Source organism: Homo sapiens, chromosome 14, assembly GCF_000001405.40.
Source record: "Homo sapiens chromosome 14, GRCh38.p14 Primary Assembly".
NCBI classification, from domain to species: domain Eukaryota; kingdom Metazoa; phylum Chordata; class Mammalia; order Primates; family Hominidae; genus Homo; species Homo sapiens.
In genome coordinates this window covers 99,572,847-99,590,521 of record NC_000014.9, presented here as the reverse complement: position 1 = coordinate 99,590,521, position 17,675 = coordinate 99,572,847, and the positions used below count along the sequence as shown (strand labels likewise).

The 17,675-nt window shown below is 56.6% G+C and overlaps 1 protein-coding gene across 4 annotated transcripts in view, besides 10 other annotated features; it reads left to right on the top strand.

The window, feature by feature from the left end:
• The window catches only part of CCDC85C (coiled-coil domain containing 85C), a 104,018-nt gene that overhangs the window by 13,686 nt on the left and 72,657 nt on the right, over nucleotides 1–17,675 (top strand). The window lies entirely within an intron of this gene.
• Nucleotides 1,441–1,643: a silencer, noted in NCBI's record as "fragment chr14:100055216-100055418 (GRCh37/hg19 assembly coordinates)". NCBI's record gives its function as "represses an EF-1alpha promoter that drives an FKBP-Casp9 reporter gene in an ReSE screen in HepG2 liver carcinoma cells and K562 erythroleukemia cells {active_cell/tissue: HepG2 | K562}" and the evidence as "EXISTENCE:reporter gene assay evidence [ECO:0000049][PMID:32094911]".
• Nucleotides 1,441–2,080: a biological region, named in NCBI's record as "H3K4me1 hESC enhancer GRCh37_chr14:100054779-100055374".
• Nucleotides 1,485–2,080: an enhancer, noted in NCBI's record as "H3K4me1 hESC enhancer chr14:100054779-100055374 (GRCh37/hg19 assembly coordinates)". NCBI's record gives its function as "activates a minimal SCP1, AML or CMV promoter by ChIP-STARR-seq in naive H9 embryonic stem cells {active_cell/tissue: H9 hESC(naive)}" and the evidence as "EXISTENCE:reporter gene assay evidence [ECO:0000049][PMID:30033119]".
• Nucleotides 10,132–11,331: an enhancer, noted in NCBI's record as "CDK7 strongly-dependent group 2 enhancer chr14:100045528-100046727 (GRCh37/hg19 assembly coordinates)". NCBI's record gives its function as "activates an origin of replication core promoter dependent on BRD2, BRD4, P300/CBP, MED14 and CDK7 cofactors, with strong dependence on CDK7, by STARR-seq in HCT116 cells {active_cell/tissue: HCT116}" and the evidence as "EXISTENCE:reporter gene assay evidence [ECO:0000049][PMID:35650434]".
• Nucleotides 10,132–11,685: a biological region, named in NCBI's record as "CDK7 strongly-dependent group 2 enhancer GRCh37_chr14:100045528-100046727".
• Nucleotides 10,726–11,685: an enhancer, noted in NCBI's record as "H3K27ac-H3K4me1 hESC enhancer chr14:100045174-100046133 (GRCh37/hg19 assembly coordinates)". NCBI's record gives its function as "activates a minimal SCP1, AML or CMV promoter by ChIP-STARR-seq in primed H9 embryonic stem cells {active_cell/tissue: H9 hESC(primed)}" and the evidence as "EXISTENCE:reporter gene assay evidence [ECO:0000049][PMID:30033119]".
• Nucleotides 12,533–17,207: an enhancer, noted in NCBI's record as "VISTA enhancer hs1931". NCBI's record gives its function as "enhancer in: heart[11/11]" and the evidence as "EXISTENCE:transgenic organism evidence [ECO:0001131][PMID:17130149]".
• Nucleotides 12,533–17,406: a biological region, named in NCBI's record as "VISTA enhancer hs1931".
• Nucleotides 15,567–16,487: an enhancer, noted in NCBI's record as "H3K27ac-H3K4me1 hESC enhancer chr14:100040372-100041292 (GRCh37/hg19 assembly coordinates)". NCBI's record gives its function as "activates a minimal SCP1, AML or CMV promoter by ChIP-STARR-seq in naive and primed H9 embryonic stem cells {active_cell/tissue: H9 hESC(naive and primed)}" and the evidence as "EXISTENCE:reporter gene assay evidence [ECO:0000049][PMID:30033119]".
• Nucleotides 16,488–17,406: an enhancer, noted in NCBI's record as "H3K27ac-H3K4me1 hESC enhancer chr14:100039453-100040371 (GRCh37/hg19 assembly coordinates)". NCBI's record gives its function as "activates a minimal SCP1, AML or CMV promoter by ChIP-STARR-seq in naive and primed H9 embryonic stem cells {active_cell/tissue: H9 hESC(naive and primed)}" and the evidence as "EXISTENCE:reporter gene assay evidence [ECO:0000049][PMID:30033119]".

Sequence of the window (17,675 nt, the reverse complement as noted above, 5' to 3'; positions counted from 1 at the left end):
TGTGGCAGGCAAGGGGGTCTCTGCTGTCAATGGCCCTGGAGGCCCCCGGTACCCCCGACAACCCATCAGGCCTCCCAGTCTTCTCCTGCCGCTCCTTTTTTGCTGAGCTGTCCCCATCAGCTGAGGGTTTCTGGTGAGCCTGCCACCAATGCCTCTGCCTGCTCCAGCTCTGCCCTGTCACATTCCTCCTGCTGACAGGTTGGACGGAACAGCGCAGGGAGTATGGTCAGGAGGCCCTCGGGATGCTGCCTGCCCTCCTGCTGGTGCCCCCACCCTGGAGGGTAGTCCCCAAGACTAGGAGTTTGGAGGACCCCAGGAGTGGTCAGGAGGCCTTGGGATGCTCCCCACCCTTTTGCTGGCGTCCCCAGCCCAGGGCTGCTCTGATCTGCAGAGACTCTAATCCCTCTCCACCGAGTTAAAAGCTTGTCCCCCATGAGGGCTGGTCTGGTGTGGGCAACATGATCTGCTGTGAAGTGTGTGGTGCTGAAATGTTGTGCGAAACCCTGGATGAAAAGACCTCTTGTTTGGTGCAACCCAACCTCTGAGCAGGAAGGAGGCAGAGGGAGAGCAGCCATCCCCGGGGTCTGCCCTCCTGCCTGCAGCAAATGCGCCGTGGGCGTGGCTGCGGTGGAGGGGGTCACTTGGGCTCTCGGAACCCCTGGGTGCAGGCAGGGGTGTAGGCAGTGGCGGGATTCTCCTGGCTGTTGCTTTATTTTGGGGATCATGACAGAAGGCAGATACCTGGGCCAGCTCAGGGCCGCCCATGGCCCCATAGCAGCCCCTGCTTCCTCTCAGCAGCCTGTCCTCCTCTCTGCAGTGGTCACATGGGCAGTGGCCTCTGCAACCCATCAGCCAGTGCATCTACAGACTCCTTAACTGGGACCCCTGAACCCCCAAAATGACTGTGCAGTCCTGCATTTTTCCTGGAATAGGGACCGCAGCTCTAATCAGAGCCCAAAGTGGTCCATGACTCAGGAAAGATGAAGAATCCAGGTAGGAGAGTTGGTGAGGCTCCTGCCTGAAGCCTTTAAAAAATAAAAATAGATCAACTGAATGCACGTTCGTGGTCGGGAGGCTCCACAACCGAATGCACGTTCGTGGTCGGGAAGCTCCACAACTGAATGCACGTTCGTGGTTGGGAAGCTCCACACAGAACACAAAGGCATAGAGTCGAGTAAAATCCAACAGCGTTCTGCGGGTGCTGGTTACCCTGGGCGCCCAGCCGTCCTGGCTGTGTCTGTTGTCTGGCGGATCTGGGCCGTGGCTGTGTGCTCCCCCCTGCCTGCTGTCCTCAGGGCTCACTCTGTTGATCCCGGCCGTGGCTGTGTGCTCCCCGCTGCCTGCTGTCCTCAGGGCTCACTCTGTTGATCTGGGCCGTGGCTCTGTGCTCACCCCTGCCTGCTCTCCTCAGGGCTTACTCTGTTGACACTGCTTGGGCCTCTTTCCTGAAGCTGTTTTTGTTTATATGAGGGCTTTAGGGTTGGGTCGATGTTTTCATGAAAACATCTGCTTCCTGGACTTCTTCCTCCTGATTATTTTCTTTCTGCCTCAGTCTCTGACCAGTCTCCCCAGGCCTCAGTTTACCCACATATGAGGTGAAGCAGTTGGTTCACATCCATGGTGCTCGGAGACCCCGGAGGAACTTGGGGAAGCTGTAGGAGCTCAGGCCATCCTTTTTGTCAGCCTTGCCCAAGGCTGCTCCTAGCTTGGCCTCTTCCCTCCATCTAGTAGAACCAGTACTTTTGGGGGCTTTTTTGGGTATTCCTGCTGCTTGGGGCTTTGAAGACCTGCAGTGGCCTGGTTTCTTACTTCAGGACCACCTTCCAAGTGCTTATACGGGTGGGGGAATGACCTGACCCCAGACCAGAAAGGGCAGCCAGGGGACCCTTTGCCACCACCTGTGCCAGGCTTCCCTCTCCCCAGCTCGCTTCCTCAGGCCTCCCGGGCCAGCGCCATCGCCAGCAGGAGCAGAATAAAAATGAGAAAATCTCATTTTCTTTTGAATTACAACCTTGATCTCTCCTTCATACTCCCACATCAGGCCTCTGGTGACTTTTGGATGGGTCCGTGGGCTCTCTTTTCTCTGGGTAAATATACAGGCATTGACTGGCATTGGCATCTGGAAACAGCAGGCTTAGGAGCACCCGGCGGGGCCTGGGGTGAGGAGAAGGTGGTTTGTGCACAGGACTGGCCGGCCTGGCTGAAGCCACCCTGGATGGGTGTCCTCACCAATGTTTAACTCAGAAAGGTGCTGGTGTACCACCATGCCAGCTGCATCCCAAGCAGGTTGGACTCGGCATTCCTTTGTAGTGGGAAAGACTGTCCCAGGGTGACTGTTGTGTTCGGCTGAGATGCTTGTCTCCCCAGACCTGCCCCTTGTTGGTCTGCTGATTGGCAGCTGGAGGAACTGGGGACGACAGACCCAGTGGGGAATCCGGCCCAGGAGGCCTGTGCAGGCCTGGGGGTGTGGAAGGGGATTCAAGTGAGGGCTGGCAGGCACAGGCGAGCTGGAAGGGCTGAGGGGAGACCAGAGGGCACTGGACTGGAGCTTGCCACGTTCTCCACGAGAACAGGGATGCAGAAGCTGGCCAGGAGGGCAGTGTGGCTCTGTTATTTGTATGGCAGACATTTCTGTGGCTGGCTGTGATGTGGGGGCTCCAGGCTAGAATGGCCCCCTGCCTGCTGCACCATCTTACTCAGCGCCCGGGGATGAGACTGCGGGAGAGGTAGAGTCAGCCCCCGTGCAGTAAGGGGGCACAGGGGTCCTCAGGCGCATGACTGTACGGGGGTTCTGCTCCAGGGTCCCTGCTTGGCCGGCCTGCCTCCTGAGATGCGTGGCTGCCCTCAGGTGCTTAGGCCTCTCCCCCACGCCAGGCCCATGACCTTTCCCAGTTGGGAACAATGAGCAAGGCAGTGTGGCCCAGAAGCGGGTGAGTGACTGACCTTGCGGAGGGGCTGTGAGGGACAGGGCTGGCTGGGAGCCTTGGAAGGTCTTTGTTCCCTGTGAGGTAGACCCTTGGCTTAGAGCTCTCTGGGCCATCCCATAGGGGGATAGAATAAATCCATGTACCCTGTTCTTGGTTTTTCTTTTCTTCCTAAACAAAATCTCCCCCAGAGGCCTTAAATGAGACTTAGCTCTGACCATTAACTTTAGGCACTGAGCTATTTTTTGGTCATGAGGCTCTGAGGGCTTTAGTAGACAGTTAATTGCCCTGCAAGGATGTTGGGGAAGGTCTTGGAGGGACAGGCCATGGTGACTCATCCTTGCTCTGAACCCGGGATTCTCCCGAGGCAGGGGCTGCCTGGGATCATGTGCCAGCACCCTGTATCTCTGTCCTGAGATTTTATCCTTTTAATGCCCCATGGTGGTGTGAGACCTCTGGCAGGCCTAGGGAGGAATCTGGGAGGAAGAGGGAGGTCTCCTTGCAGAGGCTGTCCAGAACCTCAGGATGGTGGGATGGGCCTTGAGGGGCTGGTGGGCCTGGCCGGGACCTTGGCTATTGCTCTGTTGGGGTGTCCCTCCCACTGTCACCCCCAGGAGCAAGCAGGTCCCCGGTAGGAGGGCAGAGGCCCTCTGTGAGCGCGGGAGTGCCGCCCGTGGCTGCGGGCTTGGCTGTGGTGCCCAGCCCTGAGGCCGCCTGGTGGGATTTGGGGTGTGCTATAGGTAGGGCTTTCCTCTGGCCGGGGGGCCTTGATGGACAGTGGCAGGCATAGGGTGGAAGGGGCGGCCGGCAGAGCAGAGTGGCTGGCTGGGGGTCCCCCGCCGACACATTGCTGTTGTCCACATCTCCGGTGGCTCAGACAGGGAGAGGCTCATGTATGACAGTGATGAGTTGGCATCTGGAAATAATGCCTCATTAAAGAGCCTTCTTTCTAAAAATGGACGCGTTTATCATGAAAGGGCTTCAGGAGGAGGAACCCTCGGGGCTGCCTGAGTGTTGTAAATGTGCAGATGGGAAGCGGAGCCCCCAAGCCCATGGCATGTCACATGCACCCTATCCATGCCCCCACTCTAGCATATTCTAGTGGGTTCCCTAGTGTGGTGCTCAGACAAGTGCCCCTCACCACGTGCCTCCGTTTCCCGCCTGGGGAGGTGGAGGTTTTGGTGATTCAGCACCCTGGACCTTTTCCATGCCAGGCTGGGCCATCTTCTTCAGCAGTGCCGCTGCCTGTGAGGGGCATTTGTGGCAAAGGGGATTGTGCCTCTGGTGCCTGCTGATGGCCACGTCCCCACTCCCCAGACTATGCCCTGCTTGCTGGTGCTTGGGAGACAGATGGGGCCTGGCGTCTCTGAGCTGGCCCTTCTGGGTGTAGGGAGGGGCGGGGGCAGAGTTCTCTGTGGGAGAACTGGCCCTGCACTCACCCTGCACTGGCCCTGGCCCCGTGTTGCCCTGCACTCGTGGTAGGACTTTGGCCAGGTGCCCCCTCCTTGGAGCCTCATCTATAAGGGGACCCTGAGCTCCCCTCCAGCCCTGCCTGATTCTGGGCCTAAGAGTCATGTGGGGTCATTGTTACTGCTTGGTCTGGGTGCCACCCAAGGCAGGGAAGGGCAACCTGGAAAGAAGGTCTTGCCCAGAAAGGGACAGCAGAGCAGGGCCACCTTCTAGCTTTACGCCTAAGGTCCAGGGAAGAAGGGTCTTGGTCTTAACCTCCCTGCTGTGTTTGGCAAAGGGCTGGGACAGCCACACCACCTTGCCAGGTGGGCCCTGGGTGAGGAGGTCTTTAGTTACCTGGCTGGTGCCCCGAGGGTCTGTGCTACCTAAGGGGGCCCAGAGGGAGGGTCTTTGCATCTGAACGCTAGTCGTGCATCCACCCGTGCGATCTCCGACAAGGCAGCAGACCCACGTGCCACACCTTTCTGTCTGTTAATGAGGTGTCCCAGTCATCCCATTGTATGGGCTCTTGAGGATCAAACAAGACGCGTGTGTGGTGACAATAATAGTAGGAATAATAATAGCTAACAGTCACTCAGCACTTCCTACACATTCACTCATTTGACCCTTGCAGGGCAAAGACACTTATGTTCCCCATTTGAGCAAAGAGCAAATTGAGGCACAGAGACGTGAAGTCACTTGCCCAAGAAGGTCCCAGTGGAGGAAGCGGCAGAGCGGGGGTTTGACCCTACACTCTGGCTCTGGGGTCCCCACACCTGACACCTGCCCACACCACCTCTCTGTGCTCTCTCCACATAAAAGCAGTCTTTCCCCATTAGTAACTTTTTCTTCTTCCCAAACTATTTCCTGTTTATTGTAGGAAATTTAGAAAAAGAACTAACTACCTTTGACCCCAGCACCCAGAGAGTCTCTGCATACCACTGTGAGTGTGGCCCACAGTGACATGTTATTGGTTATCGGCATGTGTCTTTGCTTCCCATGGGAGGACTGAACAGGTGTGGTATGGAGGCAGTTCTTCTTTTTGGGGGTGGAGGGGACGGGGTCTCACTCTGTGGCCCAGGCTGGAGTGTGGTTGCCCAATCTTAGCTCACTGCAGCCTCCATCTCCCTGGCTCAAGAGATCCTTCTGCCTCAGCCTCCCAAGTATCTGGGACTACAGGTGTGTGCCACCATGCCTGGCCAATTTAAAACAAATGTTTCTCTGTAGAGGCAAGGTCTTGCTGTGTTGCCCAGGCTTGTCTCAAACTCTTGAGCTCAAGCCATTCTCCTGCCTCAGCCTCCCAAAGTGCTGGGATTACAGCGTCCACTGCGCCCAGCCCCAAGGCAGTTCTTATTTGGAGTGTGATTTTTCCCCCGCTCTGTGGGCAGTGGGGCAGTTATGTGGACTTGAAAGTTGAGCACTGGTAAGAAAACTTATTCTGGCTGCAAAGCCATGAAGGATTTGCGTTTCAGTGTCTGCCATGTGATAGATTTCTTCTCATGCACTGTACACCCCTGCCTGAGTTCTGCCTTCCTAATTTATCCTGAGATTCCCCTGAGAGGAGCTCAGGGAGGCTAGAACCTCTCCTGACGTAACATGACACATCAACCCCACCAGGCCTGGGGAGCAAGGTAGTCCCCTTCTTTGGTCTCTGTGCAAGGGGGAGCGTGTGGTGATGGTGTGGCAAGGATGCTTGTGTGCTCCGAGTGGCCTGCTGGATAAGCACCCTGCCTGGATGGGGGCAGGAGCACCTCCCAGCTGCTATCTCACCTGGTCCTTGGACCACTGGCTCCACTCCCCACCACCACGTGATTTATCGCTGGTGGAGGTACAGAGAATCACTGCCCCTAAATAATCCATTGCTCATTGTGGAAACACTTGGAAGACACTATAATGCTCAAAATTATGATTTAAAAATCATCTCTAATCCTACCCTCACAAAAAGTTGCAAAAGTAAGTCAGGCACGGCTATGCGCACCTGTAGTCCCAGCTGCTTGGGAGGCTAAGGCAGGAGGATTTCTTGAGCCCAGCAAGTTGGAGGCCAGCCTGAACAACATAGTGAGCCCCCCTTTTCTAAAAAGAAGAAAAAAAAGTTGCAAAAGTAGTACAAAGGGCTCCTGCATACCCTTCCGCCAGCTTCCCCCAATGGTGACATCTCACATAAGGAGCACATTAGCAAAGCCAGGACCATGACAGCGACACAGCACAGCCTCGACTGCAAACCTGAGCTCAGATTGTACCCGCCTGTTACACACACTCATTTCTCTGTGTGTGCAGTGTTTTATGAGATTTTATCACATGTGTATGTTAGTTATATGTGCTTTTTTTTTTTTTTTTTTTTAAGACAGAGCCTTGCTTTGTCACCCAGGCTGGAGCGCAGTGACGCGATCTCGGCTCACTGCAACCTCTGCCTCCCAGGTTCAAGTGATTCTTCTGCCTTAGCCTCCTGAGTAGGTGGGACTACAGGCGTCTGTCACCATGCCCGGCTAATGTTTTGTATTTTTTTAGTAGAGACGTGGTTTTACCGTATTGGCCAGGCTGATCTCAAACTTCTGACCTTGTGATCCGCCCGCCTCGGCCTCCCAAAGTGCTGGGATAACAGGCATGAGCCACTGTGCCCAGGATTTTTTTTTTTTTTTTTTTTTTGAGAAGGAGTTTTGCTCGTTGCCCAGCCTGGAGTGCGATCATGCGATCTTGGCTCATTGTAACCTCCGCCTCCCACGTTCAAGTGATTCTCCTGCCTCAGCCTCCAAAGTAGCTGGGATTACAGGCATGTGCCACCACGCCCAGCTAATTTTTTGTATTTAGTAGAAATGGGGTTTCACCATGTTAGTCAGGCTGGTCACAAACTCCTGACCTTAGGCAATCCATCCGCCTTGGCCTCCCAAAGTGCTGGGATTACAGGTGTGACACCATGCCCAGCCAGTTATACACACTTTTAAAAATAAACTTTGTTTTTTAGAGCAGTTTTATCTTTTAAAAATTTTTTTTAGTTTAATTTTTTTAAAAGGCATTTAAAAATAATATTTTAAAAGGCTAGTCAAGTGAAGCAGTGGGAGTGGAGAAGGAACAAAGAAATCTATAACTGATTGTGATCAATTAGTTGTAAATACCACTGCACTCAGACCAGCCTAGGGCAGATTTTAAATTTATGGAAAAATTGAGGAGATACAGAGAGTTCTCGTATAAACTCTGCGCCCAGTGTCCCCTATTAACTTCTTAACTGGTCTTGTGCATTCATTACAATGAATGAACCTGTATTGATTGGTATCAATTAGAATCCATTCTTGATTCACATTTCCCTAGTTTTTACTTAACTTTTTTTTTCTTTTTTTGAGACGGAGTCTTGCTCTATCACCCAGGCTGGAGTGCAGAGGCGCAATCTCAGCTCACTGCAACCTCCGCCCCCTGGTTTCAAGTGATTGTCCTGTCTCAGCCTCTCAAGTAGCTGGGATTACAGGCGTGCGCCACCACACCTGGCTAATTTGTATTTTTCATAGAGAGGGGGTTTCACCATGTTGGCTAGGCTGGTCTTGAACTCCTGACCTCAGGTGATCCACCTGGCTTGGCTTCCAAAGTGCTAGGATTACAGGCATGAGCCACTGTGCCCAGCCGACTTAACATTTTTTTTTTCTGTTCAGGATCCTATCCAAGACATCCATTTTCGGCTGAGATCAGGTGCGTTCACGGTGGTATGACCATAGACAAGACATCCGTTTTCAAAAACACATTTTGCCACGTGATATTCCTACCATTTTTGATCCCAACTCTTTTTACATGCGCAGGTGGAGAATACCTTGTCACATCACTGACTGTTCTTTGTACACCTCATGCGAAGTGGCTGTTTGCTTGTTCCGTGGTGTGGACGTCACCCTGGGGACCTCAGGGTGGTCGTCGTCAGAAGTGCAGCTGTGTCTGCTAGGCCGCGCCTACCCCTTTCTGACAGTGATGGGGGGCCAGGCCTGGTACCCCCATCCATGTCAGGAGAGGACAGCCTTGGAAACACACAGGCCTCTGCCAGCATCCCCCCGCCCCCGCTGGGTGTGGCCACCTGAGATGGCTGATCCTGAGTGAACATGGGGATGTGTGTCTGAAACAGCTCAGACTAGGTCACATAAGGGGATATGCCTCAGCTTCCTGAGCCTCGGTTTCCCCCTGGGGAAACGGGGCATGCTCTGATGTCCTTCACAGGTTTGTTGGGAGAAGCCAAGGGGGGTTCACACCGGGAAGTGACTTGCCGTGATGCGTCGGTAATGGTCAGTCATGGGAAGACGCAGGTTTTAGTTGTTAAGATGGAACGACCTTTCTGACCAGCTCCTTATCCACCACGCAGCCCGAAGATGGCACGGTTTAAAATAGCTGCTCACATCTGGGGCCATTTACAAAGGGTCGTCAGCCCCCATCCTGCTTCGTGGCCTTTCAAGGAAGGCCATGAGCAGCAGGTCCCACTGCCAGGTTGTTTCCCTGCGAGCCCATTGAGAAATCCCCCTGGAAATCCTCCTTTGGCCTGGCGCAGGCAGGCGAGAGAATTGCAGACAATGGGGAGCCGGGGAACAAAGGGAGCGATTGTGCGGTGGCCGAGGCAGGGGTCATGGACGCCCCAGGCCAGGCAGGCAGGCCTGCACCGGTCACTGGGTTTCTGCCCACCCGTGGAGTGGCCGTGAGTGACCATGGGTGGGGGGAGCGAGGCCAGACCCCAGGTGTGAGGCTTCATACGCTGTCCTCCTACCTGGCAGCTCTGTCCTGGAAGATAGAACTTCCACGGTTGTCTTCAGGGGCTGTGTTCTTTGCAGGCGGGGTCCAGCATCTGGTGGGTCTGACCAGCTTGGTGTGGCATAGTTGGTGGTCTGTTCACGGGGCTCTGGGTTGACCAGGCCCTGTCCATCCTGCCTTGCCCAGGTCTTTGCCCTGGAGAGCCCAGTGGTTTGAGCATGGGTGTGGCCTTTGCCAGGGTAGGGTGGCACTGGGCACACCTGCCATTCCTTCTCCAGTGCTGATGGTGGGGTTTCACCCTCCCACTCCTCCTCTTTGCTTCAGCGATCGTGGAACCAGCCTCCCAGCTGGCCTCCCTGCCTCCAGGATGGTCTCCTCCAGCCCTCACTCTGTCTTTCCTGAAACACAGCCCCTACCCTGCACTTGGCTCTCTGGGGACCCCTCAGCATCAGGTTCAGGATTCTGAAAATAAAGTTGGAGGTGCTCTGTGATCAGGCTCTGATGCCTTTGCCACATTCCTCTCCCATGTCTTCTGGAAGAAGATGAACAGCAGTTCCTTTTTAATTTTCTTGAGATGGAGTCTTGCTCTATCACCCAGGCTAGAGTGCAGTCGCGCGATCTTGGCTCACTGCAACCTCTGCCTCCCGGGTTCAAGCCATTCTCCTGCTTCAGCCTCCCAAGTAACTGGGACTATAGGTGCCCGCCACCATGCCCAGCTAATTTTTGTAATTTTAGCAGAGGTGGGGTTTCACCATGTTGGCCAGGCTGGTCTTGAACTCCTGACGTCAAATGAGCCACACACCTTGGCCTCCCAAAGTGCTGGGATTACAGACGTGAGCCACCATGCCCGGCCATGAGTGGCAGTTCCTTAACACCATTAGCCAGGCGTTTTCATACCTCCCCTCTTTCCCTGGCTGTCTTCTCCGCCTCCAGTTCCCCCCATCCCCGCCCCCTTCCCCCCCTCCCCTCACTGGGGACGTCCCTCATGTCTCCAGCCTGTGGCTGAGATGCCGCCCTCTGCTTGCTTTTCCAGCTACCTCAGTGTCCAAAAGCCCCTCCTGCCTCCCCCACTGCACTCACGGTGACTCTGGGAGGTGTGCTCTTCTGTCTGGGCTGGGCTGTGTTAATGGCAGTCTCTGCCTTGAGCTCTTAGGACAGCACTATATCTTAGCTGGTCTGTCACCCACTGTGCACGTGGGCTGTGTCCCTGGGGGCTGGGCCTGCCGAGCTCCGGGGCCACACCTGAGCCACCCAGCCTCTCCTTCCTCTGGGTGTGCCGGGGGCCAGGCCTGCACAGGCTGTCTGTCCCAGCAGCTCCAGCCACTTTGCTGACCGAATTCCTGGAAGGTGTCTACTGTTTAGGAATGTGAGACCAAGAGGAAGGGGCCAGCCCTGCCCATGTGACTCACTCCGGGGTATGTGGGGTATGTGGGGTTTGTCATGGTGGTCCGCTGCTGAGGTGATTAATGCCCTACCCTGGCCAAGACTCCCAAAGTCTTGGACTGAGCCAGACGGGGGTGGGCAGGGTGGCCTGGCCTTGGGCGACCTCTGGTAGACAGCCTAACGACCAACAACCGTGTGTGTCTCAGTTTCCTCATTAGTGAGATGGGATCCCCCATCCCCACTCCTGAGTGGGATGGGGAAGGAATCAGGAGAGGTGACAGCAGGCAGGAGCTGACATGTGGGGACCTCTCCCCCGCTGCCCTGGACTCCCCCAGGCCTGCCCCTGCCTCCCGCTGCCTCCCCCAGGGAGCTGACCATAGCCCCCACCTCAATCCCGAATCCAGTCCTCACCTTTCTGGCCCCACCTCTTCCTTCTGGGTTTCTTGCCTGGGCTGTCTGGGGCTGCGCCCTGGAGAAGGCTCCAGGAAGAGTTGGGAGTGAGGCAGTCAGTGGGGCAGCTGGGAACACATGCCCTGGGATCTGGGCAGAAGGACCAGGGCTGGGAGGGCAGGATAGGGGGAGCCCCCAACCCCAGGCCCCTGCCAGCTCCCCTGTAGGTCCCACTCACTGTGTGAGTATCTCTGAGCCCACAGCAGACTCGGAGTCACACTGGGCCTCCCTGCCCCCCTCCCCCACTTCTCTTCCTCCACCGGCAGAGCAGGTTCCACAGGTGTGCACAGGGACACTGCGTCCAGGACGGTGCCTGTTGGGGCAGCCCCGCCACTTCTCTGGCTTGTTTGGCACCAAGGCTGGAGGCAGAACTTCAGCCCCAGGACAGGGGGTTTCCCTGACGTCATTTCATGGGGGAAAAGGCACTCAGGAGCCCAGGGGACTGTGTGGGTACCCAGGCGAGCACCTCTGGACTCAGGGCCACCTGGGTCAGACAGGCCTCCATGGTGTGACCTGAGCACCTCTCTTGGGCTCTGTGCCTCAGTTTCCTCACCTGCAGTAGGGGCTTCATGAGCAATGGAGAGAGTCTGTGGGTTCTCAGCCCGAAGTGTTGGTAAGAGAGCACCCTCCTCCATGCCCCAGCAGGGCTTGTGGATGGAGGTGGGGCAGGGAGTGTGTCAACACCAGCAGGGTGACACGGACCACATCCACCTGTCACCTAGAGCCTTCCACGGCACGGTCACGCCTTCCAGCAGATTATTACATCCTCACTCTAGGGAAGCGCTTAGAGAAGCCAGCTCCGGTCTTGGAAGGGGGCTGGGGCAGCAGCGCTTGTATTAGAGGAAATAAAATTGTCCTGTCTCCCGATTACACGTGATGAACTCACCATCACGCCAACGGCCCAGCAGCTGTGAGCATTCAACTAAAGGTCAAAAGCAAAAATAGAAGCAGTGGGGAGGGATGCTTTTAAATCATTGAACATGACCAAGAGGAGGGTGCAGGCTGTGGAGGCTCACACACACAGTGACAGGGGACATAGGTACAGGCCATGTGGGTGTGGAGACATGTGCACAGTCACACACACACAGTGATGGGAGTTGACATACACACACTGAATAAGCAACCACATCACTACCATTTAAGAACTACTGCATGACGGGGAACATAGGTGTGGGCTGTATGGGTGTGGAGAGGTGTACACTCACACACACACACAAACACACCGATGGGGGATACAGGACGGGCTGTATGGGTGTGGAGATGTGTACACACACACACACACACACACACACACTGATGGGGGATATAGGATGGGCTGTATGGGCGTGGAGAGGTGTACACTCACACACACACACAAACACACCGATGGGGGATACAGGATGGGCTGTATGGGTGTAGAGATATGTACACACACACACACACACACTGATGGGGGATACAGGACGGGCTGTATGGGTGTGGAGATGTGTACACACACACACACACACACACACACTGATGGGGGATACAGGACGGGCTGTATGGGTGTGGAGATGTGTACACACACACACACTCTGATGGGGGATATAGGATGGGCTGTATGGGCGTGGAGAGGTGTACACTCACACACACAAACACACCGATGGATACAGGATGGGCTGTATGGGTGTAGAGATGTGTACACACACACACACACACACACACACTGATGGGGGATACAGGATGGGCTGTATGGGTGTGGAGATGTGCACACGCACACACACACACACTGATGGGGGATACAGGACGGGCTGTATGGGTGTGATGTGTACACACACACACACACACTGATGGGGGATACAGGACGGGCTGTATGGGTGTGGAGATGTGTACACACACACACTGATGGGGGATGCAGGACGGGCTGTATGGGTGTGGAGATGTGTACACACACACACACACACACTGATGGGGGATGCAGGACGGGCTGTATGGGCATGGATACATGCACACACACATGCACTCGCAGACACACACTTCACTCCTTCCCACCCCATCCTGCACCTTCCCAAGTGCAGCTCCTCAGCTCCCCACACAGGTCTTGTTCACTGCAGGGGTGTCCCGGAGCCCATTTAGCAGCTGAGGAGACTGAGGCTCAGAGAGGTGAGGCGGCGTGCCCAGCAAGTGGGCGGCAGACATGGAGTCACCCTGGGCCTCCCTGTCTGTCCCACCCACCCTGTCCTGGGCCCAGGGAGCCCAGTGTGACTCCACGTCTGCCGCCCACTTGCTGGACACGCCGTCAGCCCTCTCTGAGCCTCGGTCTCCTCAGCTGCTAAGTGGGCTCTAGGACACTCCTGCAGAGCTGTGAAACCGGAGGCGCATAGTGGCCTGCAGTCGGTTCTGAAATGGTAGTGATATGGTTGCCTATTCAGTGTGTGTTTATTAAGCACCGTGGGCAGGGCTGCCTGGGAAGGGGGAGTGAGGAGTAAGATGCCGACTTGGAACCAGAGAGGAGACGAGCCCAGGGATGTTGTTTTCTGGGGTTTGGAACTGGCCCAGCTCCATGCAGCCCCGTTCCGCAACAATGTCTGCTGTGACTCCCCAGGCCTCCAGCCAGCTGTGGGACTGATCAGGGAGGGGAGGGCAGGGGTCCTGGGCATGGGCATTCGCTGGTGTCCACCGTGCCCCCAGGCAGCCTGGGGGCGAGGGAGAGCTCAGCAGTGGGTGTGGGTAGGAGCTGTGCTGAAGGCATCCGGGGTGACCCGGAGAGAGTGCTGCCCCGCTGTGCTGTCTTGGGCATGTTGCTTACCCTCTCTGAGCCTCTGCTTTCCTGTAGAGTGACTGATAGTCCGTTCCACCCTCTGAATCCCCAGGGTGTCATGGGTAGGAAGATTGTAAACCTGGAAAAAGGCCATGCGATTGTTTGCTGCTATCCAGGCAGCCCTAGTCAGGAGCCCGGATCCTACCAAGTTTGGTGGGAAAGGGCAAGGCTTGGGGGTTGGGGCAGGTGTGGGGGAACTCTGGAGCCATTTGCATCCTGCCTGCCCCTAGCATCCCTGTGTGGACTCCCTGGGCCTCACAGGTTCTCAGCTAAGCTGCTGGACCAGCGAGGCAGGTCCCACTGGTGTGGTTCATGAGAAGTGCGTGGACAGCACCATCCTGTGCTGGGAGGTGACAGACAGGTCAGGAGTCTCCAGGCAGAGCTGAGGGTGGGGCTCCCGGGAGCTGCTGCTCACAGGGACTCAGTCCTTCTCCTGGGCCAGCTTGGTCCTGCATGTCAGAGCAGGAAGGGGTGCCTTAAGCTGTGTGGCCTGGGGACCTTTGGGACCACCCTCGAGGGGCCCTGGCCCTGGATTTTAGATGGGGTCAGAGGGTGGGCTTCGGGAGGCCTGTGTGCAAAGCAGCCATGCTCTGAGTTTTACTGAAGGGCTCTTGAAATCCTCACCCAAGGTCACAGTTTGACTTGTGGTCTGTTTATGCCTTGGATGTACCCCTGGCCCTCTTTGTGGGATTGTGGCTACTTTTTGGGGATGGAGGAAGATGTGGCCATTAGTGTGAGCCACCCTCATTAGACGGGCACAGATCGGTGAGGTTTGGAGGAGTGGGGTGGTCACAGCAGCGGGTTTCCCCCGGGTTTTCTGTTGCAGCTCAGTTTCTGGAAGGGAGTGGATGGGGTGTCATCTCAGCCCACGTGTGTGATTTGGCCTGGTAGGTGATTTGGATTCCTGATGTCTACCTCTGCCCCCTGTAGGCAGCTGTGAACCACAGGCGGTCTGTGGGGGTTAGTCCGTGTAGCAGCGCACCAGCTTCCAGCCTGGGTGTCCCTGGGTGGGCCCCTTGCCCTGGAAGCCAGCTCCCTACTTGTCTTGTTTTATCTCTGACAGCTGGTGATGGCCCTGGTGGCTCAGGGCAGGCCAGTGGAAGCCTGGAGAGGGGTGACCTCATGGCCTGCTCATCCCTGGCAGCCTGCAGGCCCAGCACATGCAGGTCCGCTGTGCGCAGAGGCACAATTCATACAGGGTCCTCCGGCAGGTGGGACATACAGGGCTGCCACCCTGTTGTCCATTTAAGGGGAAGAAAGTTAGTGGTCACATATGTTTGTGGGTGATTTCCTTTGGTGTTGGCAGCTTGCATTTTTGTGGTGCTTTGAGCTCTTGAGAGAGTTTTCTCCCTTTCTCAGCAGGTCTTTCTGGCAACCCTTCGAGGTGTGTTACCAACAGAAGGGGGTGAGGGTCGCTGAGTGATTGCTGGGCGCTGGTGCCAGCTGAGCTCTGGATGGTAGACAGTAGGCGGCTGAGGCCCTGGCGGCAGGGGGACCCAGGAGCCACGCTCATGAGTCATGGGGCCTCTCCCAGGTTCCTGAGGGCCTTGGCACTCCCCTGGCGCAGTCACTAATGCACACTAAGCATCCTAATGCCCTGCGCTGGCTGAGGGCCAGGACGCGGCCTCACCCCACGAAGACTCCTGTGTACGGGAACTCAGGTGGAACAGGGCTGGATCCTGGGGGCAGGGCCAGCCAGCAGGAAGGAAGAGCACCCTGACCATCCCCGTGGAGGCTGGGACCAAGCCCCGTTCCAGATGCCATCCAAAAGGCCACCCTCTGGCTGCAGTCTCGACCCTCCAGGAAGTCTTTCTGCCCCTCCTTGAAGGCATTTGCCCTGTGACCTTGACCAGTCACTGGCTTCTCAGGGTCTGTGGGTGCAACCCTGGGGGTGACCCATGGGATGGCCAGCGTCCCACAGAATGGCTTCTACAGCCTGTCCCTGGGTGGGGATCTGGCCCCTGACCTCCTTAACCTCCTAGAATCCCCTGCAGGCCATCCACCAGTCTCTTTTGCAGATGTGGAAGCAGGTTCAGTAATGTGCCTGGGTCATAGCTGTGAGTGGTCAGGCCACCTGACCCGGCTGGTGCCCCTCGGGCGGACACAAGGACCAAGTAAATCAGATGGTGCTCATGAAGCTCCTTCCCAGCAGGCTAATGCTGTCAGCACCACTGCCTCTCCTCTCCGCTCTCCCCTTATCTCCCTGCATTCCCTAAATTCCTCGCAGGCCACCCTGCCTCCCCTCCTCACAGGCCGGGAGTTCCCCACCTCCCTTAGCTTTATTGCCTCCCTGCCCAAGGTCTGGATTGAACTTGGCAGGGTTCCCTGTGCCTCGGCCTGTGAGGAGTGAGTGGGGATGGGGTGAGGGGAGCATGTGGGAGGGTGAGGGGAGCGTATGGGGTGTGACAGGACCTGTTTGGGGGAGAGTGAGCTGTGGCCGGGATATAGCACGGAGAGTGGCTCAGTGTCTTCCAATCCAGGAAGGATTCCAGCTGAGATCAGATCTAACTGCTTCTGCCAGACAAAAAAAAATCCCTGGAGCAATGTTCACTTCTTTGTTGAGCTTCCCTGGTGGGAGGCTGAGGTCTTGCTAGTGTTGCTGGTGCTGAGGGCAGGTGGCGGGTCAGAGAGCACAGCTGGGTGGCAGCTTGCAGCACATGGTCTTGTTCTGGAGGCTGGGCAGGCACAGCAGAAGCAGGACAGAGCAGCACTCCTGTCTCAGAATTTAACTCCTGCGCGTCCCTGGCATGTGCACTGAGCCCTCCTGTCAATTAGGACATTCCATCAAGATCCAAATGCCAGTTCCAAATGGCAGCTCATGAACACGGCTGTCCCTGACCACCCTTCGCATCCCAGGATGAGACGAGTTGATGAGACAAGGAGAATTGCACCTAGGGAGGGTGTGGGAGGCCCCAGCGCATGCCCCTCACTTGCATAGAGGCCCTGGAGTGCTCGGCGGCCCAGAAGAGTGAGGCTATGGGCTCTAACCAGGCTTCTGCAGGGCAGGGGCAGAGGGATTGGGTGGGTTGTGAGGGGTGCATCTCCTGGAGGGCTGCCGTCCCACCCAAAGGCAGCACCTCTGCCCTGTGTCATGGGGACTGCAGGGCCACCCCAGGGCTGTGCAGAGCAAGGAGGTTGGCGTTATTTAGAGCCAAGCTCTGCAGCTGCAGGCCCCTGCCCTGGAGGGAAGTGTTGGCATCTGGCTGCACCCTGTCCTTTGAGCCAGAACGTCCAGGCCGGGTCTGCCTCACTGGTGACTGCCTGCCATCAGCAGGGCTCTGGATAGCCAGCACCTCCATGGGGAGACTGAGGCCCAGGGTGGGGGAGGAGCGCCGGACCTCAAAGGCATGGCCTCAGCTGGTTTTCCTTCACGTGGGTGACAGCTGAGGGTTCCCTGCTTCCATTTAAGACTAAATGACCTTCAGTGGAGCTCAGAACAAAACTCTTCTAAGGGGATTGGGAAAATGGGGGCCTGGGAGCAGCTTCTGAAACTGATGAGCACCTCGACCCATGCACCAGGCAGAGCCGGCTCCCTGAGGGTTCCTGCTAGAGTCCTGGCCACCCATGGCTCAATCCCCTGCAGGGAGCACCTGGAGGTCCTGTTCGCTCTAGGCGGGAGGCTGAGTGACGCTGGACCGCTGAGCAGCAGGTCCCGCGGGGACTCCGAGGCACCGGGGGAAATGAAGCGGTGCCCAGGCAGCTGCACGCCTGAGTCCCTGCCTGGTCTGAGCGCCCCGGAAACAGCTTAGGCTTCACTTGTCCCCTCTCATTTTTAGCACCAGGCTCTGTTCTCTGCCTTTATGTGTGGCGTCTCCTGCGGTCACCAGGGTGCCTTCTGCTCTGAGGCTGCTGCCATCCTATCTTGTAGGAGGCGAAGGCAGGGCTCAGAGCTAAGAGAAGGCGCTGCCTCAGGTCCGTGCCTCCCACCCTGCCTGGGACTTGGGCAGACATTCCTTCCTTAGCCGTTTACTGAGCAC